The following is a 21,749-nucleotide window of genomic DNA, read 5'->3' as shown; positions in this document are numbered from 1 at the left end:
TTTATTCAATCAATTTAAATACTATTTACTGTATAAAGCCTTCTCTAACTACCATGAGCCTCATTGACTTTTCTCTCCTCTGAATCCTTTCAAAACTTACAGGAACATGCCAGTGGTTCTCACCAACCCTGCATATTGTACTTAATGATGGAATGTGTTGCTTTATGGAGTGGGACTGCCCTCCCTATAGATCGTTCATAGGGTCTTTGTATTAGTTTCCTATTGCTGCCATAGCAAACAGTCTACATTTAGCAGCTGAAAACAACAGATACATGGCATCTCACCATTCTGTAGGTCAACAGTCTGGGATACCTTGACGGGTTTCTCTGTTCCAGGTCTCCCAAGGCTGAAATCAAGTTTTGGTCTGCTGGACTCTTATTGCAAGGCTCTGGGAAGAATTTGCTTTCAGATTCACTCAGGTTGTTGGCAGAATCTGGTTCCCTGAAGTTGCAGAACCGAGGACCTCATTTTGTTTTAACCGGGGACCAACCTCAGCTCCTAAAGGCCTCTCTTCAGTCCTTGATGTGGGCCTATATCTCAGAGCCAGCACTGGGCGCACTGAGTCCCTCTCATGCTTGGAATCTGACTTCTTCTTTTGCTGCATCTCTCTGTTTCCAGCCGGAGAAATTGTCTGCTTTTAAGGGCTCCCAGATTAGACTGGCCTCACCCTTATAATCCAAAACAATCTTCCTATTTTAAAGTCTGTAACCTTAATGACATCTGCAAAACCACTCTTGCCAAATTCACATTTTCTAGGGATTAGGGTGTGGACAACTTTGGTAGGCTGTTGTTCTATCTACTGTAGCCCTTAAGAGCACAAGCCATGCATTGTATTTCTTCTTTATTCCCTCTCCCTTTTGACCCTAGCACCAGTGCCCAGAAGAGCAGTAGGTTCTCTGTAACTTTAGTTGTTGAGTGATTAATTGAATGATGGGTAATCAATGAGGCATGATATTGTGTTATTGAACCAGTGGCTAATCTAAATTATATTTGGAAAGATTGTTTTGTTAATTGAATATAAGATAGATTGAAACCACAAAATACTAGAGGTGTCTAGACTGGCAAGTAGTGGAGATAACATATAAATGAGGTAATGGGTTATGTAACTCTGGGATTGTTGTGGAAATAGAGAATAGAGAAGCATCATTCTGAGGTGTGAATAGGACACCTGGATGCTAGTCTTAGAGTAGGTAGCCCCTTATTTATGTGTCCAACACAAAATCTCAGTGATATTTTTGAACAAGCAAGTGAATGAATGCAGCACAATGGATTTTAAATCATAATTCAAAGTGAGTTTAAAAGGTGCAGCCTCCATTCTGAAGACTGAAGTGTGTATTGCTATTCATATTCTTAAAAATAAATGGAAGAAAATGTGTAATTATCTTGGATTTCCCCTAACACTCCAGAAAAAATTATCTGCAGGCAGCAGTTTGTTTTCTTCATATTTGCCCACATTACCTGTTTCTGCAGCTGCATCCAATCAATATACTGAGATCAAAGAACACAATGACAGCAAATATACTCAGCACTTGCCTCAAATAGATTCCAGTGAAAACCTCCCTAACCAAGAGCAAACAGAAAGGAAGGACAGCATATTTTAAATTTCCTAAAGGACAAGTGTCCGATTTTTGTTTGGAGCAATACTGCTCTCTCTGGCTACCCATATCCTCTTTCATTTAGAAGCACATCTACCCTTTAGTTGAAATATATTTTTATGATACAACATGCATTGTATCATGTGGCAACCATATTACTACTACTCTCAGTGTTTCATGAGGTAGAGAATTAACTAGTGGACCTGCCAGTTATATGGGGTGATTGTAAGGCAAGTGGAGAATCACTTTCTCAGTTGGAAAAATACCTTAATTTATTAGATTACATGGATTTTTTAATGAAAACATTAATTTGAGCAAGCATTCCCATTAGTAGATCACATTTAATAATGTTGTTTACCACCACTCCATAATTAACATGAAGTCTTTCTCTTCTATGCAGTTTCTTTTTATACACTATCCCAGCGTTTCTCAAAGTGAGTGCCAAATGCAAAGCCACTAACATTTGAGGCACCTAAAGTGCTGATTAAATAGAGAAATTCCTGGGCATGTCTAAATCTTCTGAGTTTTATTCTCGGGAGTTTATTGTGAAAGAAAAAATACTCCTTAGAAACAAAGAAAATCTCCACAAACAAAAGCGTGAAAACCATTAATCAAAACACAGAATGCATTGCTCTTTTCCTAACAAACACTCAATAAGATTAGCTAAATATAGAGCCTCCTGCCCCTTTGAAATCTGTCAACCCCAGGCAGATGGGAAACCTTTCCTCTACGTATTAATGCCCTCTGGTAGGAACACAGTAAGTACTAGTTCTTCACAGACATGCCTTTTCATAGGTGGTGGAGATACTCACTGAAGAAGAATGTAGCAAATGCTTATTATTGCACTGTTCCAATGACTGTGCTTGAGGTTTGGAGGATAGAAGAAAGTAGACCACCATTTGATGGGCCCGCTTGTTACCTACAGCCTGATTTGAAAGATAAGATATACTTACATTCAAAAGCAATAAAATTGGTAGATTCCAGATGTGAGATATAGAAAATAGCTATTGACAGTATTTGAGGCAAAATGGAATTATTGTGGGTTGGCATTGTGTTGGGAACAGGGCAGGAGCTAGGTTCTGAGAGATGTGAACAAAAATGAGTAGCATGCTGTTTTAAGCAAGGGACATACACAGTATGATACAGAGTTGGAAATATTCAGATTGCAAGGTACAGGTGAACAGCACCTGGAGTGGAGAGTTCATATGAGGGAATGGTAAGATTAGGTTGGCGTGCTAGCTTGGGACCAGCTTATGAAGGATCTTGCATGCAAACCCTAAAAAATCTGGCTCATGTTCATTGGGTAATAAGAAGCTGTTAAATAGAGACAAAGTCATGATCAGAGATTTAAGATATAAGATGGATTAGAGAACAGGGAGATTGGAGGCAAGGAAGCAGGTTAGGAGGCAAGGAAGCAGGTTAGAATGCTAATACCCAATTATCCCGGTCACAAATAATAGAAACAGGAAGCAGAGTTGTGGAAACGGGAAGGAATAGATACAAGCATTGTCGTGGAAGATGAACCAATACTCAGTATGTTAGCAGTGAATCTTTGCTTGTGTGGAGCAAAGCGTTAGGGAAAGAAACTGGAATTTGGAGTCTGGAAACATTGTATATGAAAGGCATATACAATTTTTAAGATTTCATACACATTTTAATTTATTTGTTTTCTCAGCACATATTTTTGGGCTACCTGGAGATGCCTGGAACATGCTGTGTTAGGGTCTGGAGATACAGAAATGAAGTAGATAAACTTTCTGCTAAAGAGCTTCCAGAATCATAGAAAACCCGGAAAGCTGGACCAGCAATTACAAGAGGTGAAAAACTGACGCTGAGCTTATGCGTCTGGGTTCCTGGGAGGAAGTGATGCTATTAATCACAAGAGGGAACACAGCAGGTGCAGTAGGCTTAGAAAGAAAGCAGAGAAGGTGAGTTTTCCCTCTAATTTAAGGTGCATTGTACCAAAGAGTAGTCCAATGGGAAATAGATGGCACATCTGAAATAGGATAATTCAACAAGGGTTTACTCTACAAGGACTGTTTGCAAAGGTGTAGAAACAGGTGAGAGACAGTACAGAAACTGGGGACTTTGTAGCAGTCAAACTGTCATTGCCCTGTCTTAAGAGCTGTATAGGGAGTAGGGAGCAGTTACTTGAACCTGGAGGGATGAATTCTTTATATTAGTCAGAGTTCACCACAGAAACAGAGACAACTGGATGTGTGTGCACACACGTAGAAAAAGAGAAAGACTTATTTTGGCTCACATGATTGCAGAGGCTTGGTAAGTCCAAAATCTGCAGGGTAGTTCTGTAGGCCAGAGAACCAGGGAAGAGTTTCAGTTTGATTTTAAAGATAGTCTGTGGCAGAATTCCCTCTTCCTAGAAGGTCAGTCTTTTTCTATGAAGACATTCAGTTGATTGGTTGAGGCCCACCCACATAACAGAGGGTGATCTGCTTTACTCAAAGTCTACAAGTCTACTGGTTTAAATGTTAATGTCGTCTAAAAAATACCTGCATAGAAACATCTAGAATAATGTTTGGCCAAATATCTGGGTACTGGTGGCCTAGCCAATTTGACACATAACATTAATCACCACAGTCTTGTAGAGTGGGTCACCTTGAGAAGAGCACAGACTTTTGGTAGAAGTAGCTCAGTAACCTTCCAGGGAAAGAGCTGTGGCAGGGGTTCTCAAAGTGGAGTCCTGGCCACCAGCATCCGCATCACCCAGGAACTAGTTAGAGGTGCAGATTCTCAGCCCCATCCCAGCAGTACTGAATCAGAAATGCCAGGAGTGGGGCCCAGCAATCTCTGTTAACAGGCCTTCATCTGTGTGATTTTGATGTACTCTAAAGTTTAGGAATCATTGAGTCAGGTGAATAAAACTCCTCCCTCCCTGGTCCTTCCTCTGATCTCCTGTTTGAGCTCCTCCAAGGTTGGACTTCACAGGAAGCCAGAGGCAGAAAACAGATTATTGATGAGGGCACAAACATTAGCCTCCCAGGGCAGGAATCAGAGTGGGAGAGAGTAGAGAAGGGTCAGGAAAAGCAAGTGGAAGGTGTTCTGCTCCTGCATTAGGGGAGATATATACCAGGAGGTACCTCACATAGGCATAATGGTTCAAACCTTAGAGTAGATGAAATTGCCAAAGCAGAATTTAAGAGGAAAGAAAAGTGGCCCAGGTATAGAGCCTAAGTGTGTAATATTACAGGTTTAAGTGGTGGGTTGCATCTGTGATTTTTCTTCTAAGATCGCATTATATTTTGAACTCTCACTGCTGAACTGAACTGGCTTTTTGCCAGATAAAAACTGTAAGTTAGAGTCCTTAATTTCTCAAATAGACCACTCCCTCTGATGTATGCATGTCTGGCATATAAAGCATATGCATCCCTATTTCATCCCCAACATATAGCTTATCTACCATTGTGACGCTCCTCAGAGAATTCAGCCATGAATCAATTGCAGTCCAGCACTTATCAAAGTCTTCCTTGAGACATCTGGTCTTCCAGAGAGTGTGTCTAATGAGCAAGTGATTCCTCTGTGACTTTAAGTGTTATTGCCATGGTAAGTTATAGAAGCAGCATGTCAAATACCTAAGCCATATTATCTCAGCCCCTTGCAGAAGTGACTTTACTGAGTTAACATTTATGTTATACCTTCAGCTCACATGGGTTGCTGTACCAGTGCTAATAACAACTTGAATAATAACTATGTCATTTATTGATTAATAAAGTCTTGTTGATTATGCACTCGGCACCAGTGTTCACCAGAGGTGGCTTTAAGACATGGTCCCTCATTTGTGAGAGTTGTTCACATTCTCACAAATGAGGCAGAAACACAAACAGTTACATAATCACAGCATGTGATTAGAAAACAGAAGAAAGCGATGCCCATTTCATCAAGAGCCAGTTGCATAATCACAGCATGTGATTAGGAAACAGAAGAAAGAGATGCTCATTTAATCAAGAACAGTAAAGAGTTTCAAGAAGGAGGAACTGGCCGGGAGTGGTGGCTCACGCCTGTAATCCTAGCACTTTGGGAGGCCGGGGAGGGTGGATAACCTGAGGCCAGGAGTTCGAGACCAGCTTGGCCAAAATGGCAAAACCCCGTCTCTACTAAAAATACAAAAGTTAGCCAGGTGTGGTGGTCGGGCGCCTATAATCCCAGCTACTCAGGAGGCTGAGGCAGGAGAATCACTTGAACCCTTCTTGGGGGGAGGAGGTTGCAGTGAGCTGAGATTGCGCCGTTACGCTCCAGCCTGGACCAAAGAGCAAAACTCCATCTCAAAAAAAAAAAAAAAAAAAAGAAGGAGGAACTATTTGAAGTGGGCCTCGGAAGATGCATAGGAACTCACCAGCTAAACTAAGGCGATTAGGGGTGTGTTGGGAGGGGAAGGCATTCTAGGACCAAGGAAAAGAACAGTAGGAAAGCATGGAGATATGCCAGAAGCACAGTGGACACAGGAGAGAGTGTTTAAAGATGGGGCTGGATTGATGGGTGAGGGCTTTATGTTGTATGCCTGGGGGTTTGGGAACTTTATTCTGAAGGTAGAAGGGGAAAATTAAGGGCTTTGTGATCCCTGGATTAACCTGAATAGATTTGAGTGAATCAAGTTTGGTATTTTGTAACTATTAAATGAGTTTATTTTTTAAAAAAAATCAGTAGTCTTTATTTTTTAGAGAAGTTTTAAGTTTACAGAAAAATTAAGCAGAAAGTATAGGGAGTTCTCATATTATATTACCTGCTCCACTCTCACCCCCAACACAGTTTCCCATGACCATGATTAACATCTTGCATTAATATGGTACATTTGTTACAATGGATGAAGCAATATTGCTACACTATTATTGACTAAACTCTATCATTTATATTAGGGTCCCTCTTGGTGTTATATAGTTCTCTGGGTTTTGACAAATGTATAAAAATGTCATATATACAGCATTATAGTAGCATACAGAATAGTTTCTGCCCTAAAAATATTTCACATGCCATCTATTCATCCATGACCCCTAGCTCTGAACCATTGGAAATCACTGATCTTTTTAGTGTCTCTATGGTTTTAACTTTGCCAAAACTTTGTGTACAACGATGCATTGCTTAATGACAGGGATACATTCTAAGAAATCTGTCATTAGGCAATTTTGTCATTGTTTGAACATCACAGAGTGTACTTACACAGACCTAGTGCTACAGCCTACTCCACTATACACCTAGGCTATATGGTATGGCCTCATGCTCCTGGGCTACAAACCTGTATAGCATATTACTGTACTGAATATCATAGGCAATGGTAACACAGTGGTAAGTATTTGATATCTAAACACAAAAAGGTACAGTAAAAATTACAGTACTATAATCTCATGGGATCACTGTTGTATATGGGGTCAGTCATTGACCAAAACTTTGTTATATGGCACATGACTATACTTGGAATCATACAGTATATAGCCTTTTCAGACTGGCTCTTTTCACTTAGCAGTATACTCAAGGTTCCTTCATGTCTTGTCATGGCTTGATAGCTCATTCCTTTATATCACTGAATAATATTTCATTGCAGGATGTATCACGCCTGTTTATTCATTCATCTGAATGGGAGAAATTATAATTTTTCTTCAGTATTCATAAATTTGCAGTTGGGAGACTTCTGCAACCAAAGACAGATTAACAAGAGAAAAACACTCAAGTTTATTAATGCATTCGGCGTACATCTCACAGGAGTAAAGTAACTTAAGGCAGTGGTTTAGAGTTTAATCTTACATAAAATCTTCAACAAAGAGCAATAGATTTTAGAAAAATTACAGGGCAAAGGAAATTAGTTCCAGGCTTCCAAAGGGGGGAAAACTGTGGCAAAGTAAAGTAAAGCTCACATTCCTCTGGCGCCATCCCTAACTTTGTCGAGATTGTCTGCAGTAAGGGGAAATTTACATTTTTTCTTTAGGTGGGATATAGGGAGAGATCAAAAGACCTTTTAAAAGTCTTTGTAATTCTTTATTCTGCTTTAAGTAAACAGAGGGAAGGCAGAGAGCTACCCTGCATTTTACTTGTCTTCATCTCAATAATCCTTCATATTTTGGGGAGAAATATTCTGGTTTCCTTCATATCTAATGAAGAACATCTTGATTCCTTTCAAGTTTCTGCAATTATGAACATGGCTGCTATGAACATTCATGTGCAGGTTGTTGGTTTTTGTTTTTTATTGAGGTGGGATCTTATCTTACTGTTACCCAGGCTGGTCTCAAACTCCTGTCCTCAAGTGAGGTCCCCCCACCTCAACCTCCTGAGTAGCTACAATTACAGGGGCACACCACTGCTCCCAGCCATGTGCATTTTTTTTGTGTGGATGTAAGTTTAGAATATATTTTGGTAAATAACTAGAATTATTATTGCTGGATCATAGGTAAGCCTATGTTTAGCTTTGTAAGAAACTTCCAGATTGTTTTCTAATCTAGCTGTACCATTTTATACTTTCACTAGCAGTGAATGAGAGTTCCTGTTGCTCCAGGTCCTCATCAGCATTTGGTGTTGTCAGTGTTTTGGATTTTGGCCATTGTAATAGTGTGTCATGGTATCTCATTGTTTTAATTTCCAGTTCCCTAGACTCTTTTCATATTTTTACTTGCCCTCTGCGTACCTTTGGTGAGGTGTTCTTTCAAATCTTTTGCTCACTTCTTAACGCGGTTTTTTTTATTGTTGAGCTGTAAGCATTCGTTGTATATTTTGTATACCCATCTCTTATCAAATGTATCTTATGCAAAGATTTTTTCCAGTCTGTGGCTTGTCTTTTCATTCTCTTAACAGTATTTTTCACAGAGCAGAAGTTTAAGGTTTTTCATTTTAATGAAGTCCAACTTATCAATTATTTCTTTCACAGGTCATGCTTTTGGTGTTGTATCTAAAAAGTCATCACAACACTCAAGGTCACCTAGATTTTCTTCTGTTTTTTTAAAAAAACTTTTTATTGAGGTATAATGTACATACAGAAAAGCGTACATATTGGTTAACTCACTGAATTTTCACAAGTTCACCTGTGAGTCAGCACCTAAACCAACAAATAGAATATTACCAGTATCCTAGAAGTTCCTCTCTAGGCACCAAACCAAATCCCCTTCAGTAGACGCCTAATGACATGGATTACCTTTGCCTGTTTCTCTTTAATATAAAGTGAGATCATGCAGTATTTACTCTTCTCACTCAACATTGTGAGATTCATCTATATTGTTGCATGTAGTTGTAGTTTGTTCATTGCTGTATGCTATTACAGTGTTTGAGTATCCCATAATTTATCTGTGTTAATGGACCTTTGGGTTGTTTCCATTTTGGGGCTCTTATGAATAATGCTGCTAGTATATGACTTTAGGTGAGCAGATGTACATATATGGTAAACATATGCACCTAAACTGGAACTGCTGTGTTACAGGTGATGTATATATTCAGCTTTAATCAGATACTCCCAGATGGTTTTCCAAAGCAGTTGCACCAATTTAAACTCCCATCAGCAAACCAATTTATTTAAAAATGTTACAGCTTACTTTTCCCCCTAAATAATGATGCTCTAGGAAAACATGAACTAGGAGGTAAAAATGTAGATGAAGCCCTCACCGACAGAAAGTGCTCCTTTGAAAAGAGGCAAAGAAAGGTGGACAAACTGTAAGATGTGAGACTCAGCCCCAACTCAGTTAGAAATCCTGGAGGTAAAGAACACTTTATATTAGTTCCCCCTTATCTTCAGTATATATGCTCCATTCAGACCCCCAGTGGATGCCAGAAATTGTGGACTGGACTGGACCCTAGATACACTTTGCTTGTTTTATCTGATAACCCAGACAACAACTTAGTGACTGACAGGCAGGTATCCGCTATAGTATGGATACACTAGGTTCACATCCTGGGTAGGACAGAGCTAGAATGTGCATGATTTCATCATGCTGTTCAGAAAGATGTACAATTTAAAAATTATGAATTGTTTATTTCTGGAATTGTCCATTTTATATTTGGATCACAGTTGACTTGAGTAACTGAAATCATAGGTAAGGGGATACTGCAGTATTGAATACACTTGCCCCCTTAAGTACTTGAAGAAATCCTGTTGTTTCTGTTATTAAGCTAGCAGTTTGTAATCACCTTTCCTGTCAAGGCTATCAGTGAATAAACAATTGATTGGAGGATTGTGCTAAAGACTGACATCCATCTGGAGGTGAGGGTGGGGCAAGAATGGAGTGGAGACAGCAAATGCTCAGTCATTGGTTTGAAAGAATGTTAACATAGAACAGTTAATTTATACTTTGAACAACAGAGACACAAAATAGAATGATTTACAACAATAGTCCCCCTTAAGTAGGGGGCATGGACTAGATTTTAAGTATCTTCAGGACAGGAAACTTGTCTTATTCTGAATTGAATGGCAATACCTATTGAGTGTCTGGCAAGAAGTAATTACTAAATAGTTAATGAATGAATAATTAGTGAGAGCAGTGTGATGTATTAGGATTAAGAAAACAAATCACCATTTCAGCAGGGAGATAATCAAGGAACATATGTAGAAGAAAAATTTGGGGCATCGTTGTAGTTAAGAGTTAGATAAGAGTCATTAATTGGTCCAAGATAGGTATTTGTTGCCTGCATGTTATGCGCAATTTGACGAGCAAATGAGAGGCTCTCAGTAGAGAAGAGCTGTTTGTGTGGTGGGGGTGGGGTGGGGATGGGAGTGGTACTTCGTTTAGGGAAGTATGGAGCCAACATAGAGCACCAGTAAGATCAGTCCATGCTTTGCCTGAGCATAACATTAACTAAACCCATTATGTAGCTTTACATCTGGTTTTGGATATACCAGTTTTAAAGAGAATGTAAAAATATAGAGAAATGTGGCAAAAGTGATAAAAAATGGATGACAAATGACATAAATACATCATACTTCTTATCATACTCAAGTGAGATGTTAGAAGCTTCTATGTATGTGACAGGTAAGGTGTCTGTTAACAGAAGGCTAATGGTTGGCTTAATTATATTTTCCTGGAATAAAGCCTTGTTATGAAGAGTTTAGAGATGAACAGTTTCTTAGATTCATAGAAGCCCAAATAATAAGGCAAGGAATTAAGACACAAAATATTTTTATCAAACATAAGGAAAACCTTTTTGATTACCACGATGATACATTGCTGAAATAACAGGGAAACTAGGTATTTTTGTCTGGAGACCATCAAGAAATGAGAAGACAATGATCAATTCTGAGCAATTGTTATGGACTGAATGTTTGTGTCCTCCCAAAATTCGAATGTTGAAACTCTCATTTCCAATGTGATGGTATTTGGATATTGGGTCTTTAAGAGGCAGTTAGGTCATGAGGGTGGAGCTCTTATGATAGGATTAACATGACTTTATCAGAAGAGACTTCAGAGAGCTTGCTTGCCCTTTCTCTACCACATGGAAATACAGTGGGCAGGTGTCCATCTGTAAACCAGGAAGAGAGCCCTCACCAGGAACTGAATGGACTGGCAAGTTGATCTTGGAATTCCCAGACTCCAAAACTGTGAGAAATAAAGTTCTGTTCTTTAAGTCACCCAGTCTGTAGGATTTTTGTTATAGTAGCCCATACTAAGACAGCAAATTGAAGCACTTCCCTGCTTAAGAGAGACCTGGGTAAGATGGTCACTCTGATGCCCAAATGCCATTTCACTTTAAGAAAAGCAAAAGTAATGTAAAAATTGAACATTAAGAGTGTGAAATGTGTAAGTTGAACTGAAGATATGCTGACAACGTTTAATTAAATAACAAACTCTTTAAAGGCACTAAAGGAAGAATTTTAGAGTGTCTGCTTCATTTGCATAAGCACTGCAATGTGAAGCTGTACCATATACTGGCTTTCAGATCAGTTATCAGCCAATAAAAGTTGATATGATACAGTGGAAATGGCTTCCATATTGCCCGTAACCCTATAAACCATTGACTTTTGCTGGCAACTGAGGCTTCTCTGTAAACTCCAGAACACCACTTTCAGAGGCAAATTCTATCAGGCTGATAGCATTTTCTAGTTTTATTTGATCTTGAAAAACATTTCATTATGTTTAATTTAGGGAAATGAGATTTCTTTAATTACTATCAGTAGCAGCTATTAGAGGCTCAATTACATTTGCAAATTTATTTTTAAAAGCTTTATGGTTTTCAGATAAAAATTTCAAGATCTAACTGCATCCATTAAAAGTTACTGTTCTTCCCTTTGGTACCCATGCTTCCAAGAGAGAAGGTATGTTTTATAACATAAAATAAATAATGCCAGAAGCTGAGGATTTGCCTAAATAGGACTTAGAGTCACTCATTTGGAAAAATTAGATATTTTATTAAATAAATTGGCTCATCAAATATGTATGTAGATTCCTATCCTTTGGGGTTTCACATACACTAAACTCTTCCATGTGAAAGGTCAGGGTGTACCCATGGGGAAGAGGCCGCTTACTAGCTGGGAATGTAGATGTTGCTCATCCATATGCTTATCTAGCCTTGGTTATAGACCTACCGTGAGTTATACATCACCACTGCTATGTCTAGAGCAGTGTCTCCATGAAAGATTGTAAGGTGGGGTCCACATAACCTCTAATTTATTAGTCTCTTGAACACTATCAGTGATTTTAGGAGTGACTCCAATTTTATACCTTCTGGAGCTTATTCATATCATTCAACAATTATTAGCGATATGAATGCCCTTCCCAGACTGGATGTTGCTGTTTTGCTCACTCACAGTAGCCTTAATAGGTTATTTTTCCTCCTCTAAAGAGATAAATGGAATAATTTACCTATTGAAGTCCAGAGAACATTAGCACGCAAGATGCGGTGCCCGTGACAGGGCTTTAGCCTTCTCACTCTGATCAGAATGCCTTTCATCTGTGGTGCATAGAGGAGCACCCTGTGCTTAGTAGGTATTAATATTTAGTAAACACTGGTTGATGTGATTAGTTCAACACTCTTCAAATCAGAAGCAGCTGTTTACTCTACAACTACAACCAGAATAGTGTTTGTCCGTCCACTTGGTGGCAATTTTGAGCTATTGCATAGAAGTGCTATCTTGGATCAAAAAATAGAAAGTGTTTTTGTGAAAAACTTTGGAGTCTGTACATTGACTTATGTCACTGTAATACAAAACCACTTCTGTTGACAGGAAATATCACCCACTAATAAAAATTGTAAATGCCTTTGTTGCTGTTTGCCATGGATATATACATGCAAGGTTTAAATGATTTAAACAATTGTTTCTTGAGTTCTTTTTTGCTAATAAACATGAAGGTGAGAACATGCCTTAGCTTGTTTAAGGTGTATGCACGTGAGGGCTTTTCTCTTTGTTGTATTTGGAAGTGTTTGTTTTTATTATTCTCAACTTGCTTTAGCTTTTACCCAGACCACTAAATGCCTACTGATGGAATATAGGGTTATATGCCTTAAGAATTTGGTGTTTGTGTGGATTAGTATTGGAGGGAGAGTTATATACTTGGTGCATGTTGGTGGCAACCTGATGTATGGTTGGCTGCTTGCCCCTCGCATTCACCATGGATTCTCACTGGAAGGTTGTATTAAGAGAGTGAACCATGTGATGAACAAATAATTTGAAGGCAAATGCTTATAAAAGCAACTCACACTTTACAGTGTGTAAAATAAAAGTCCCAGATTAAAAGATTCCTTGCATTTGGGGTCTAAAAGTACAACAGCATTTTCTTAAGGTAGTAGTGCTTTTTAAAATTGATCTAGAATGGTAGTCGCATGAAACACAAAGTCATCGTTTACATGTTATACCACCCCTTCCCTCCTCCCATTTTATCTAGATGTTGCTTTTTAATTTTATCTAGATTTGCTTTTTTATCTAGATGTTGCTTCCCTCCCATTTTATCTAGATGTTGCTTTTAATTTTATCTAGATGTTGCATTTTATCTAGATGTTGCTTTTCTAATCTAGATGTTCCCTCCCATTTTATCTAGATGTTGCTTCCCTCCCATTTTATCTAGTTGTTGCTTTTTTATCTAGATGTTGCTTCCCTCCCATTTTATCTAGATGTTGCTTTTTATCTAGATGTTGCTTTTTAATAACTTCATCACAAGAGAAGATGTAAATATGAACATGAGCAGTATGGTTGCAGAAACAATAATAAAGGACAAAGGCATATTACTTGTTATTCTCAGAAAGCTTAAGATTCAATGGCTGTCTAATTTAATAAAGTCTTGTTACAGTGGAATGATTCAGCTGTAAGAAGCTTGTAAAAATTGTAATAAGCACTGGAGTCGATGCAATCTTTTTTAATTCTTGGGGGTGGTAGTTTTTCATTCAGGAAAGCTGCAATGTGCTGCAGAGTTGTTTGTCAATGCCTGGGCTTATTTTTGTAAGAAAGTATTGATTACAGAGTGAAAAACATTTAGTTTAACAGCAATCAATGTGTAACAGACAAAAGGACGTCTGAAGTTTTGAAGTCTTTAAAATATGAACTACATGCACAATATGGAGAGTTAAGTTGTTGGTAAAAGTTACGACCCAAGGGTACACAAATTTTAGATTATAAACTTACTACTCTTCCCCTCCTAGGCCAGCTCATATATTGGGAGGTAGAAGACTTAATGATTGATTGTGCAGGGAAATTAACTTATTTATTTATTTTATTTTACTTTAAGTTCTGAGATACATGTGCAGAACATGCAAGTTTGTTACCTAGGTATGCATGCGCCATGATGGTTTGCTGCACCCATCAATCCATCATCTAGGTTTTAAGCCCCGCATGCATTAGGTGTTTGTCCTAATGCTCTCCCTCCTCTTAACCCCTACTTCCCGACAGGCCCCGGTATGTGATGTTCCCCTTCCTGTGTCCATGTGTTCTCATTGGAAAATTAACTTATTTATTAAATAGCACATAGTAAATATAAAACTTTTGGTAGAGAGAGGGAGATAGATTTTTTTTTCTGCTACAACCTGTATAATCCATGCACTACAGAGCCTTACTGTATATTCCAACTTGTTTTTAATAAATTAAATGTATTTAAATAATAAAATTAAAATTTTATTTCAGCATCTGAGAAAATAGAAAAGCATTTAAAGGTGTTAGCATCTGTCAACATTAAATCTCATAGGCTCTCAAAGTGTTAGAAAAGAACAAAATGTTAATCTGTATGGCTAAATTATCATCTACCTGTATGTATATTATGACCAGTATTCAAAATTATCTAATGTTGAGATTAGTTTGACGTAAAATGTAGACCCTTTGTAAGTTGTTGAGTTAAAGTGACTTGTATAATCTCTAACAACACTAACACGGCAGCGAGTGACTGCAGAGCCTCTGCTCTCCCTCCAGTGGGAGGAACTCTGTTCCTAATTGAGAATAAGAAGACACACTGGCTAATGGTTCAACACCAAAGGGTAAAATATAATTCTATGTATAACACAACGCAGGTGCCTCTGTACAGAGACGTAATCACACAGGGATAGATAAAAGATTTGTTTCTAGCACACTGACAAGCACAAATATTACGTGATTTTCAGCACTGCTGAAAGTTCATCCTTTCTAGAAAACACACACTTAATTTTTTCATTTTCGACAGTAGCTACAGTTTCATTAAGTTTCGGGGAAGAGGTTTCAAATTGTTTTTGTTTCTTAACAGTAAGAAGACAGTTCTGCAACCCCATGGCTTCTAGGGAGTTTATGCATTTTGGAGAAAGGGAATGTCACCTCCTGGAAAATGAATGATTAGAATTGATTATTTTTTTGTTATAGCTGGTAATCTTGACTAGGAGTCCACAAACTATGGCTGAGCTATTTCCCTCCCTACCTATTTTTGTAATAGTTTTTTTGGAATACATCCACACACATTAGTCTATGTATTATCTATACCTGCTTTCGTGCTACCAGAGCAGAATTGAGTCATTACAACAGAGACTGTGTGGCACATCAAGCCTAAAATGTTTGCCCTCTGGTTCCTTATAGAAAAACTTGCCAACCCCTGCTCTAGATAATTCATACTTTACTAGCTAATTGTTGAATGTGTGATAATCTTGGCCTAACAAGATTACAATATTTTTAATGGCAAAGACCATCTCTGTCTCTCTATTTTTCAGACCATCTCTTGGAACTCTTCTATACCCTACAATCTCTAACAAGGTCCTGGAAAGGGAGAGGCTTAAATGCATCAGTTGGTTTGCTGGTTGCGATGAAAGTTTACTAGACCAGGAAAGAAACTCCTTCATACCTGTAAAGAGAGGCAGTCAAGCCCTAGGTTCCTGGAATCAGATTGCATGGGCTCAAACCTTGGCTCTGCTATTTACTTACTGTGGCCTTAGCCTCATAATCTTAAAAAAAAAAAATCTGGTTGGGAATAGTGCCAACTGTCTAGTATTGTTGCAAGGGTTCAGTGGCAGCTATGTGAAAAGGGCTTAGAACTCTCAGCCAGGGTTCATCATTATCATTCTTATTTGTGATGCTGGGAAGAGTCTCTCTTTTTCTCTCTCTCTCTTATTTTCCTTCACTTTATTTGTCCTGGAATTACTTTGTGACTTCTCTGTGAATAAGGAGGTGCACTTTAATTGTACATACATGTTTCCCTGTCTTACGTATCATCAGTAGGGCTGCTGGCACTAGCTGTAGTTCAGATTTAATGCCAGTGGCCACAATCTTATGAAGACATGGATCCTTTTTCCATAAAAAATAAGGCCACAGATTTCTGTGTTATAGCAGTTGTGTTTTTATTTATTCAATACCTGTCAATACATCATGTTCAGTACACTGAACCGTTTGTAATTTGTGGATGCTTTGCAGTTCTTCCTGGCCTAAGAGGTGGAGAGCCTCTGTTGTAGGTATTTGCACGTGGATGAGTTATAACCTGTGTAATGGCACACTTTTGTAATAACACACCTGTTCTGATTGACAGTGGTACTAAGATGGCAGGTAACTCTCACTAATTGGAACCATTTTCTTTGTGCATGTTGAATCTGATTCTTTGATCATAAATAGAGTCTTAGCCTATATAAAAATGTACATTTGTGGAGCAATGTACATAACATTCAAGGCCTGGTTAAAAAAAAAACACGTTTTTAATATTGTTGTCTTCTGAAGAAGGAGGCAAAATTTTCTAGAAGGGCTTTCAAGACACTAATATAAAAAGGATGAAAATGTTTTATGGTCTTGCCAAATCACTTTTCCATCTTCATGCAGCAGTTTAATTTTGAGCTTATAAAAAGGTCTATATTGCAGAGGAAAGTAGTTTATATGAAAGTTTTACATATAAATCTAACTGGTCCAAATGCAAAACTCTGCCAAAGTCTTGAAAATTTGCTCTATTGTTGACTGCCTGGAAAGGGAGATTTTGGAGGATCTTTGAATCTTCTCTGTCCACAGCGACAAAGGCTTATGGTAAGCTGGATCACCCTGGACAAATTGGTATCTTTTAGGACCTCAATTGGACTTAGTGACCTCAAGCACCCTTCCAGGTCTGCAAACTTTCATTTCCCTTTGATCATAAGACCTCTAGAAAGGGGCAGATATTAATGTGTCCATGTGGAAAAATAGCTCTTGCTGTGTTCAGTCAAGTCTGACAAAGCCTTCCAGGAGAGACCACTTCTGAACGAGAAAGGGCTAAACATTGCCAGGAGTGGAAACTGGGGAGAGACCAGGAGATTACAAAAAGGGCACCTGAGAACACAATTTCTGACACTCACATAAAGTGCATGCAAAAGACCTGCAGTCATGATGTAAGCGTTTCTTCTGTGAGCTTTTCTATACCCAACAACGGGCCAGGCAGGTATTCTATTATTAATAGTAGTAATTGTAGCCACACTGGCCTATCTTTTGTGAGTAGTATTTAGACCATGTGAAACTGTGTTTTCCATTTGCTTCCTCTGGTGACTGTGTCGATCATTGAGAAAGTGAGATTGTCTGTTGTGATGTTCTCCTTGACTGATGTGGTTAACCAAGGGTTAAATATACTTTCAAAAGAGGCCCTCTGGTTGTCTTTTAAGAGTATATGTTTTCCCCTTCTGTAGATTAACTGCACTCACTCAGCTCATTTATAGGTCTTTAATGATTTCCTCATAAAAATGATATTTCTGTTTAACCTTACCTCCCAGAAATAACACAATCTCTAATTCTTTAATATTTGGTGCTTTCAATTTCTTCTAACTTTGGTAATTGTATGAAATAAAATACTAAAGCATTGAACCAAAGCTTGTGATTAGTTCCACATTGAGTTTTTAAATGTTGTAGCTGACCTTTTAGCAGCATGATAAAATGTAAAAGTTTGCATTTGCTAACAAGGATAAGGGAAGCTGCTAAAAGTCCTGTTTTAAAATTTTTAGGTTTCTCATATAATCTACGATGAAATAATGGAAGCTGGCTATGTAAAAACCAACCCACTTGTTCTCAAGTCTTCGTTTAAAGAAATATTCTTGTTTAAAGAAACTTTCCACAATGAAACGGGAAGTGTGAAGGCATTCCTAGTATGTTCTCCAAATGAATAAAAAGTAGTTGTAAGAAATTAATCATTACTGAGGTCCTCCCTGGCAGATTTAAAACAAAAGCTTCAGTAGTACCTTGTACAGTTGGTTGTAGACATTATAATTATTCTCCCACTTTAAAAGAGTGCATAATTATAGCGAATACTCTAATTTCCAATACACATAATTATACCCATTCACTGAAGGAAGGAATATAAGGATTCCAGCTACAGGATAAAAAGGATTCTTAGTCTGAATAGAGTTGTGTTTTTTTTTTTTCCTTTCCACTACTCTGTACAGTCTAGTAGGGCGAACAAAAAGAACGGTACAATGTACTATCCTTAAAAATAGAATTATAAATGGCTTTGTTTGGAAACTCCTGCACATCTTCTCAGAAATTAAATTTTTGACTTAATAGTTATTGAGCGAAAGTGAATCATCAGTTAAGAGATGTGAATATGAAGTTGGGATTGCAATCCCTGGGCTGTTGGGAGAAGGCAATGGTAAGGGAAAGAAGATGACAGAGAGAAATGTATCTGTGGAGTTTCTAAACCAGAGAAAATCTCATCACATTATCCTCAGTCAGGATTAAGACTAAAAGTTGTTACCGAGAGAAACTTTATAAACCTAGAGCTAGCTGCCCACTAAGGTCGTGGGGGGTCAAGAGGATTCATGTGGAGCTTAACAAGTATGTATTGAACATTCTGGAAAGCTCAGCAATATGCTAATATTCTATGGGGTTTTGTGACTGTGTTTGAGGCCTAATCCCTGCCTGAAGGAAAGTGTGCTCTTTGAAGAGACAGGGAATAATATATTATTGGTTATAATATACATTAAACTGAATATATAGTAATATATTATTTTGTATATAATTTGTTATTCATTTTATTAATGTTAATATAATTTATTATATTAACAAGCTTACTTATATATAATATATATTATACATATCATTATATAATGATTAATACGTCATATGTATGTGAAACAGCAAAGACTGTGGCATTATATATTCTGTATAAAGCTAAGTTATAAAGCAAGAGCACAAGTATGTTTTATAAACCATAAATTAGGCGGGCAGTGAAGTAAGAGAGACATCAGAGTTGAGGCAGAACAGGTGTTAACCTTCATAGTAAATATAGCTGAAGTTCAAGACTAGAGCGTAGATGGGAGGATGAAAAATCTTGGAATCCTCCATAACAGAGAACAACGAGAGAAACATAGGGACCAAAAGTTTGAAATGAAAATGAAACTAGCCAGAGAATTCACTTGTTGTTCACCGATTGTTGTGGAGTACAGACAGAAAAGGAACAGAGTTGGGGGTAAAATGGGGCATAGATCTGTAGCCATTCTGAAAGTGCACATGTGGTTCAGGGTACAGAACTGGAAGCAAAAGTTGCTACAACAAAAACAAAAAACCTGAAATGCTGTGTCTTCTTTGCATAGAATATACTGTCTCCACAGAAAAGGAAACAATGTTTAAGACTTCAGTCAAGTATGAAGGCATTTAATAAAATCAACTTCTGAAAACTTCAAGGGGATAGAATAATAAGTAGCTACTGTTAATTGTGATCAATTAACATGACAACAAAGAAAGATCTGTGACCAGGGGAGAAGAATGAGTCATTGACTTTTTATGAAAGGACCCACTGGTTGAGTAAATAAAGCTCTTTTCTAAGTCAAGCTGAGAATTGAGCCTTTTGACTGAATAAACTCAAGGAAAAGATTCGGGTAAGGGAAAGAGAGTCTGAATTAGGCAGTTGACTATTGATAACAAGCTTACTACCTACCTGGGTTATTACTCAATGTCTTGCTTTCCTTGGTCAGCCTCTGTAAACATCAGATATTCAAAGACTTGAGAAGAATTAGTTTTCTGAGAAGCTTATAGAAGTCATAAAGTCAGTGAGGTAGAAAACCCTGTGGAAAGGCCTTTTCCAACCCAAGGAACCATTGCTAATGAATGACAGTGAGGAAATTGTTCCTTTTATGGTAGTATCTCACCTCTAGAGTCCACTCTGAGGAAGAATTATCATCCTTTAGATTTAGATTAAACATCATTTAGATTCTGTCATTCTCCTCAAAATCTACTGATACTCCCAATCATTTCAGAATCAAATTAAAACCAATGCCTTTGGTGTGTCTATTTTATCACTCCTCTTCCTAATTGTGTAATGTGCAATATCATTGTTTTAACATTGCCTGGCTCTCTTTAACCCAAAAACTGTGCCCTTTGCCTCTTAAATCTTCACCCACTAATTATCCAAAACAAGGATGCCAGTCACTTTCATCAGTATTAAGTGAAACTTATACTTTCACTAACCCCCAAAATATGTGTATACACACACACCCCACTTGTAGACATTGCATTTAATCTCTTTATGCCACTAATGTTATTTGTAATTGCTTATGCTTTTCCTGATATGGTTGTGGCTAATTTCATTGCTGTATAGAATGTGAGAGTTGGAAGGGACCTTAGCATTAGTGTTAATTTAGAATCTTCCAGATGGAGGGAACCTTCCAATGATTAGAAGAGACACAAGAGGGAAATACAGATTTTCTTGTTTACAGGCCCTCGGGGTATGTGATACACCTGAGGGTCACACATATGGAGGTCTAGGAGCACATGTAGAGAGAGATCCATGAGCCAATGCCTTTACTGGCATCCAGGGTGTTGTCCAAACAGGTTTCCTATGGGGAATGTTAATTCGTGAGTTTAAAGCAACAGGTGTGAGTTCCAGGTGGCCACACTGTGACTGAGGGTTAGTCACTGTGGCGTATCTGCACAGCTCATGCAGGGGGTAGGAGCAGCAGGGCCAGTCAAGCAGGCTGTGTCTAGCTGACCCGTAGTGAGCAACTGTGTAATGCAGATATCTGAATTGAACACATTGAGGAACTAGGAGTGTGAGTTAGGCGTAGAACTGGAAATTCTGCCAAGGATGACTGAGCCCTTCTTCTGGTATGAGAGAATCCAACTTATATTTAAAATGGAGGCCAAGGCAACATAAAATTATAAGAACTTACTACAGCAGTTTAGAAGTAGGTCCGGAGACAGTAAGTATATTTCCCAAGGTCACTTATCAAGTTAATGGGAAGACAGAAACTCTAGCCCAGTCTGTTAGCCTCATGCCTTCTCCACTGTAGGAATCATGATGTGAAAATGACACTTAGACTGATGAAAAATGTGAGAAGTTGATCAATATATAAATTTTCATCCTATTTTTTTTCTGCTGTAGGATGATATTAAAAGCAAAACTGTATTACTTTTTGTTGTAAATACAGTGTTACCATTTTATTATTCATTTGTAGCCCTAGTTGATAAATAATAAAAACCATTGACTATGCAGTAAACAACTTACTTTCTCTTGGTAGGATCCCAAAATTTGTTGTAATTTTTTCCACCATGACTTTATAGTGCATATCAATCTCCACGTGCCAGACCTTTGTGGGATATGATGAGGTTTCTCTTCGAATAATCGAATCAATCTTTTATTCTTTAATTCATAGTACCCCCCCTTCTTTTTCTCCTTTTTTTCCTTTTTGCCTTTGATAGATGCCTATGCACACCACAGTACCAAGCACTATCAGTACCAGCTCACACTCCTTTCCTTATTTGGAAAGAGGACTAACTTTCTAGCTCATTACAGACACCCCTTCCCCTTTCCCTCCACTTTCTTTTACGTGCCTACCCCATCTAAAAAAAATCAAATG

General features: G+C 38.0%; 1 protein-coding gene across 19 annotated transcripts in view, besides 2 other annotated features; it reads left to right on the top strand.

Annotated features, from left to right (window-relative positions):
* Positions 1-21,749, top strand: part of NCKAP5 (NCK associated protein 5) — a 1,003,049-nt gene that overhangs the window by 515,106 nt on the left and 466,194 nt on the right. The gene's annotated exons all lie outside the window — the stretch shown is intronic.
* Positions 19,120-19,632: an enhancer, noted in NCBI's record as "OCT4-NANOG hESC enhancer chr2:133897671-133898183 (GRCh37/hg19 assembly coordinates)". NCBI's record gives its function as "activates a minimal SCP1, AML or CMV promoter by ChIP-STARR-seq in primed H9 embryonic stem cells {active_cell/tissue: H9 hESC(primed)}" and the evidence as "EXISTENCE:reporter gene assay evidence [ECO:0000049][PMID:30033119]".
* Positions 19,633-20,147: an enhancer, noted in NCBI's record as "OCT4-NANOG hESC enhancer chr2:133897156-133897670 (GRCh37/hg19 assembly coordinates)". NCBI's record gives its function as "activates a minimal SCP1, AML or CMV promoter by ChIP-STARR-seq in primed H9 embryonic stem cells {active_cell/tissue: H9 hESC(primed)}" and the evidence as "EXISTENCE:reporter gene assay evidence [ECO:0000049][PMID:30033119]".

This window comes from Homo sapiens, chromosome 2 (genome assembly GCF_000001405.40).
Source record: "Homo sapiens chromosome 2, GRCh38.p14 Primary Assembly".
NCBI lineage: Eukaryota > Metazoa > Chordata > Mammalia > Primates > Hominidae > Homo > Homo sapiens.
The sequence above is the reverse complement of the archived record's forward strand: the minus strand, read 5'-3'. Positions and strand labels throughout refer to the sequence as shown.